Genomic DNA, 7,673 nt, shown 5'->3' on the forward strand with positions numbered 1-7,673 from the left:
GGGGGAACCCGCCCCCAATATTTCAGCATAGGTTCTTTCTATTTTCCATAAGTGTTGGCCGGCTGAGAAATAAAGAGAAAGAGTACAAAGAGAGGAATTTTACAGCTGGGCCTCTGGGGGTGACATCACATATCGGTAGGACCATGATGCCAACCTGAGCCACAAAACCAGCAAGTTTTTATTGAGGATTTTAAAGTTGGGGGGTGTACGAACAGGGTGTAGGTCACAAAGATCGCACGCTTCAAAGGGCAAAAGGCAGAACAAAGATAACATGCTTCTGAGGAAACAGGACAAGGGCAAAATCAGAACTACTGATAAGGGTCTATGTTCAGCTGAGCACATATTGTCTTGATAAACATCTTAAACAACAGAAAACAGAGTTCGAGAGCAGAGAACTGGTTTGACCACAAATTTGCAAGGGTGGAGTTTTTTCCCTACCCTGATAAGCCTGAGGGTACTTCAGGAGACCAGGGCATATCTCAGTCCTTATCTCAACCGCATAGGACAGATACTCCGAGTGGCTGTTTATAGACTGCCCCCCAGGAATGCATTCCTTCCCCAGGGTATTAATTATTAATATTCCTTGCTAGGAAAAGAATTTAGCAATATCTTCCCTACTTGCATGTCCGTTTATAGGCTCTCTGCAAGAAGAAATATATGGCTCTTTTTGCCTGACCCTGCAGGCAGTCAGACCTTATGGTTGTCTTCTCTTGTTCCCTAAAAATCGCTGTTATTCTGCTGTTTTTCAAGGTGCACTGATTTCGTATTGTTCAAATATACATGTTTTACAATCAATTTGTACAGTTAACACAATTATCACAGTGGTCCTGAGGTGACATACATCCTCAGCTTACGAAGATAACAGGATTAAGAGATTAAAGTAAAGATAGGCATAAGAAATTATAAAAGTATTATTTGGGAACTGATAAATGTCCAGGAAGTCTTCATAATTTATGTTCCTCTGCCGTGGCTCCAGCCAGTCCCTCCGTTCAGGGTCCCTTACTTCCCGCAACAGAGAACAAAAAATTATTTCTCATAGTTCTGAGGCTGGGAAGTTTTAAGATCAAGGGGCCAGCATCTGGTATTTGGTGAGGGTCTTCTTGCTATGTCCTCATGGCAAAAGAATGGAAGAGGGTGAACTCACTCCTGCAAGCCCTATTCATTTATTTATTTAATTTTTGAGACAGGATGTCACTCTGTCACCCAGGCTGAAGTGCAATGGCATGATCTCAGCTCACTGCAACCTCTGCCTCCCAGGTTCAAGCAATTCTCCTGCCTCAGCTTCCTGAGTAGCATGAGACTACAGGTGTGCACCACCAGCCCAGGTAATTTTTGTATTTTTAGTAGAGATGGGATTTCACCATGTTGCCCAGGTTGGTCTCGAACTCCTGACCTCAGGTGATCCACCCGCCTCAGCCTCCCAAAATGCTGAGATTACAGGCGTGAACCACCAAGCCCAGCCTTCAAAAGCCCTTTTTATAGAGGCATTAATTCATTCATGAAGGCAGAACCCTCATGACGTAAGCACCTCCCATTACTCCCCACCTCCCAACACTGTGGCATTAAGGATTAAATTTTCAACATATGAATTTTGGGGGACACATTCAGACCATAGCACCTATATTAAAGAAAAACATAACTTAATTGCAACCAATCAGAAGTGACCAGTAAACTTACATAACTAGAGACCTTCCAATGGTTAGACCAAATAAGGCAACTGTATAACTGTAACCAATCAAATATTTTCTTTGCTTTACTTCCTTGTTAATCCTATAAGGTCCTTTCTCTTGTGTTTTCCTGTTGGAGATTCTGAAATACTTCTGATTTGGTGCACCTGACTTGTGAATTAATGTTTGCTCAAGGCAACTCTAGAATTTTGTGTTGCCTCACTTTACCTTTTTAACAAAACAGACACACACATATACATACATACACACACAGACATCTTAGAATTTTTATCAAACCACGCATGAACACATTTTGAACTATTTTAAAATTTGTGCTGAAATAGTCGATATCAAAATAAAATCTACAAATGTATTAGACTCCTAAATAAAGAAGGTATTTCTGATTTCTCCAGAAGAAACAGTCTTCAGAAGAAATAATATAGTAAACCCTAGTATACTAAGTCACACACAATATATCTTCTGTATATCAAAGGCACTACAAAAAAGTATAAAGATCCATGACAAACTAAAAGAAATTACAATATTTATGAGAAAATAATAGTTAATAGATATTTAAAATATACATGACATACAAATCTTAAGAAAGAACATAAAAACAAAATAAAATCGGAAAAAGATATGGATGGGTATTTTAAAGGAAAATGAAATAACAATTACGACTAAACTTAGGATAAATTCACTAGTAATTTTTAAAAAATCAATTACATACCAGGCTATAGTGAGCACTCAAAATGTGCCAATTGACTGAGTGTATGATGAGACAGAGAGGGGAGGAGCATGCTTACTAAACGGGCTCCAGTCTTGTGAGCTCACCTGGTTTGGTTGGGTTACTGGCCAGGTCCAGGATTGTTTTGCCTGCACAAGGTAAAGCAATCACATTGACATGGGTTTTGCAAAAGAGAAAAGATTCATTTGCAAGGCTGCTGAGTGAGGAGGTGGAAGAACAATTTTCACATCCTCCTCCCTGAAGATAAGGCTTATCATGGGTTAGGGAAGTGGGGTGGTTTAAGTAGTGGGGAAATGCTATTGGCAGTGGAGAAAAATGGGAAAAATCAAGTAACAAGTTAGTTCTGGGCAAGCATAGTCAGGGTTCATGGTATTTCATAGGACATATGTACAGAAAGTGGCAACGCTAGCTCACTATAGCCTGGTATTTAATTGATTTTTTAAAAATTACTGGTGAATTTATCTTAAGTTTAGTAGTAATCAGTATTTAAATTTCCCTTAAAATATCTATGTACATCTTTTTTTAAATTATATTTTGTTTTTGTGTTCTTTCTCAAGATTTGTATGACATGTATATTTTAAAATCTCTCTATTAACTATTATGCTGTCATAAATGTTGTAAAGTTCTTTAGTTTGTCATTGATCTTTATACTTTTTCATAGTGTCTTTGATATATGGAAGATATATTGTGTGTGGCTTAAATGGTGATCTGAGGGTGGAGTTTTTGGCCTTCTGAAGTCAAAGGTCATTTCTTTGGCATTTGTACAGATCCAGTTGAAGGGTCCATGGTCTCAGCTGGTTTGAGCTGGACAGGGTTGGTCCAAGTTCCTGAAAAACAACTGAAGTGGCCATTACCATGGTGACCTATGAATGTTATCTATAACGTAGCTAGGGAAGGTTAAGTTTTAGTGTTCATCAGTGCAGCCTTCAGTGACCATGGCCTTCAGCTTCATGGAAAAAGGAAAAAATATATAACAAAAAGCAAGTGACCAGAAGCAAGCAGGGCAGGCAGACCTGATCAAATTAACCTCTCCGTTTCAGTTGTGCCCATCTATGGATGGCCAGAACTCCTACTGGCTGCCATTCTATTTGGCAGCCTCCCCAGGTTTCAGACAATGGCTTGCCTTTTGTCCCTCTAGAAAAGAGATGGTGTAGTTTTTTCATGCTGCTGGCCTCAGAACTCTGCACCATGCCCTGTCAGTGTGCTTGACATTTACCTGCAGATTTGTACAGAGTGCCTCAATTACCCCATCAAGTTTGGCATCCGTTTCCCATGAAAATATATCACGCTAAATAAGAAACCTTAAAAGAAATTTTTCTTATGGAAACTTGACATTATGCTATGAAAACTATATGTTGGCCAGTCCTAAAATAAAAAGAAAATTCCACCTTTTTAATATATGTTTAATTTTTTTCACTAACACTGACAAAACAAACAGAAACATAAGCTAAGAAATTGAACCTTGCAACAATGACAGAGAAGAGCACCATTAAACTAGGAATGTTGTAGAAACACTGATGAACCCTAACCCTGACCCTAACCCTAAGCCTATGCATTATGCGCTATTTTCTCTCAGTGAATGGAACTGTTTCTCAAAGAGAGATCTCTGTAAGCCAGTGTTTAGAACAAGGTTCTGAGGGATATTTCTTACTGAACAAGAAAAATATTGCTGGCATATATCACTTGAGGAAAATTCTCCCTGAAAAATAATTACAAAACAGAAAACTATATAATGACCATTAAGATGAAATACATATATTAATAGAAGCACTTAGGAATATGAGAAACAACCTTGATTCATAAATTCAGAAACTAAGAATAGAAATAAACAACAAAACCAAACCCAGGAATAAAGACAAAGACAGTTGACTGAACAGAAAAGAAACAGACAAAATGATGTCAGAAATTAATAACAATTTATACAATAGCCAAGGGAGGATAAATTGAATTTTAATTATGAGTATTGACAAAAGGCAGGATAGCAGTCTTTAGCAGGATAGCATAAAAATGGGACTTTAAAAAAGAAGTGAAAAGGTAAAAATGGAAAGTAGTAGAAATAAGAGACAGAAAAAGAAAGAATAACATTCATAGTAATTTACTTCCTGAAGAACAACAAAAAAAAGTAGAAAAGAAATATTTAAATTTATAATCTAACAAAACTTTCCACATACATGAACTAATGTGTTGCATATACGTGTTCATATAAGTGTGTATACATGCATACACATATGTATTATATATACACAAATATACACCTGTATTATCTACATATTACATATTACATAATATACATATTATGTACATATACATACATATGTATTATGTATTACGTATATTACATATATACGTGTGTGTATATATGTATACATGTATACACACATGCATATATGTAATACACATATGTGTATTACATATATATACATAATACATGTTTTGTATATATATGTGTATTATGTATATACACACACAGACATATCTACACACATACGTTTACCTGCATGCACAGACACCCACATATCTTTTAAATTCAGTAACATTTAATGAGTAGTAATGTTTCCAAGAACTAGGGCAGTATGCCCACAACATCTGCTTCTATTCAGCACATTAATGCAAGTATTAATCAACGCAATTAATCAAGAGAAATGGCTGAGGCATAAGAATAGGTGAAGAAGTAAAACTATCTTTATTTGTAGCTGACAGGAACATATACCTGGAAAACTCTTAAAAATCAATGATGAAACTAACTTTTAAAACTCAGTAAGTTATTTAGATGTATAATTAACAAACAATTAATAGGATTATTTAAAGAAAAGTTTAAAACATTTCTGAAAAACACTAAAGTAGACTTAAACAAATGGAAAGATATTTCTTGTTTTTAGATAGGGCAATCCAACATCATAAAGATGTTAGTACTGCCTAAGTTTTTCTCTAAATTTTAACTCATACCTTCCAAAAAATAGCAACTATTTTTAATGGAGTTAGACTAGGTCATACTAAAGTTCATGTGGAAAAAAATAACTGTAAGAATAGCAATAAAAATAATGAAAACAGAAAGTAGGTGGGGACACGCTTTTCCAGACATTACTATAAATTCTCTATACCTCAAGTAATTTGGCACTGGTGCATGGAATGACAAATGAAATTGTGAAATAGAATAGAGAGCCAAGAAACAAACTCAGATACGTATGGAAATTTAGTATATGATAAAGACTGCAGATGAACTTATAATAAATGGTGCTTGAAAACTTAGTAGGCAGTTACAAACAGATAGAATTAATTCCATAATTAATAGTGAAATGCACTATTCCCCAAAAATATAAATCAAAATAGAATAAGGAACAAATGATAATGTCACATAGCATATAATTTAGTATACAATATTATGAAAGAAAGAGAATGTTGTTGCTTACTGGTAACTGTTAAAGAAAGTCAGGAAGTAAACTTTGCTATGTAATATTATAGGCACAAATCTGTGAAGAAAAAACAAAATTGCTAGAGAGATAGTTAAATTTATCATCATTAAAAACTGATAAAACAGATAGTTAAAAATAATCAAGGATAAAGATATTTTGAGCATTATTAATACCCTATATTTAATAGATAAGCATAGAACTTTGCATCTACAGTGTGTTGGGCGCTACCTACACTTATGGAAAAAGTGAAATAACTTTCCATTTTCATTAAGATTTAAGGTGCCATTTGGTAGAAATGACATATATAACTTATGAAGTATGTGTACAAACACACACATTTATATATTTCATGCATATTATGCATATAAAAATGAAAGCATATTCTAAAATATGTCAAATATGTCAAAATTGAATACAGTCAATGTTATATAAAATCCCTCTATTATTCATGTTCCTGTTAAAAGTAAGATAAAATACATTTTAATAAACAAGAATATAAGTGACTTTAAATTTCTTTTGGAGGATATTATTTTTAGAGCTATGATTAAATAATTTTCACAAGATAAATGTTAAGATGCATTATATTTATGAGTGAATAAATATATGTATTTCTGATTATAAATCGATTCAACTTAAATATAAGTGTTAAAAATGTAATAAATACATAAGGAAATATGTAAAAATTACCCACAGTTCTTCTAAAAAGAGACAACCACTTTGCTATTTTGTGGAAATCTCTTCAAGTTACTTAATCTCTTATTTGAGCATTAGGTGATTGTGCTAATGGCTGTATAATTTTCTATTGTACTAAAATACTTAATATTTTATTGATGGACATTTTAGAGGCTCACATTTTTTATTTTTATTAAAAAATTATCAACAAGCTGATACATTCCTATACTTTTCTAATAATTACCAATAACACATTTTAAAGTGTGTATTTCCTGTCTCAAAGTGTTTAAAAATATTTTATCATGTGAAATTCTGTAATTAAACATAGATACTAATAAATTAAGAGGGTTCTTTTCATGACAAGGATGATAGATAATAGTTCATTGGGTTTTTTTAGAGAGTTTAGTAAGTGGAATTGATAGAGACAATATATACTTTCATTAAAAAATTGCATGTCAAAAATTAGAATAATAGAGCTGACCAATGGAACATTTTTAAAGCATGTTGGTACCAATAACATATCACAACAGGTGGTGAATTGGATATTGGTCAATTGCATGAGTTTTGTCCAAACTGGGGCACTCCTGAGAGGTGAAATAGTTCAACATTAATAATTATGTTCAGGGTATGGCAGTTAACCTGGACTGTTCTCCCCAAACTGAGACTTGTGGTCAGTATAATACTATATTTCTATAATACCGTATTTCAGTGTGTATTAGTCTATTCTCATGCTGCTAATAAAGACATACCTGAGACTGGGTAATTTATGAAGAAAAGAGGTTTAATTGACTCACAGTTCTACATGGCTGAGGAGGCCTCACAATCACGGCAGAAAGTGAAAGAGGAGCAGGGTCACGTCTTACATGGTGGTAAGCAAGAGAGTGTGTGCAGGGAAACTCCCCTTTATAAAACCATCAGATCTCATGAGACTTGTTCAGTATCATAAGAACAGTATGGGTGGAACTGCTGCCATGATTCAATTATCTCCACCTGGCCCTGCCCTTTACACATAGGGATTATTACAATTTGAAGTGAGATTTGGTGGGAGACATGGACAAACCATATCACAGTGATTTTCATTTAGATTAATGCACATTTAATCCATAAATAAAAGATCACAATGCCTTTGAATTTAGATAAAGCTAGGAAAAAAGGAAGAAAGAAAATATATTT

This window comes from Homo sapiens, chromosome 16 (genome assembly GCF_000001405.40).
Source record: "Homo sapiens chromosome 16, GRCh38.p14 Primary Assembly".
Classification (NCBI taxonomy): Eukaryota; Metazoa; Chordata; class Mammalia; order Primates; family Hominidae; genus Homo; species Homo sapiens.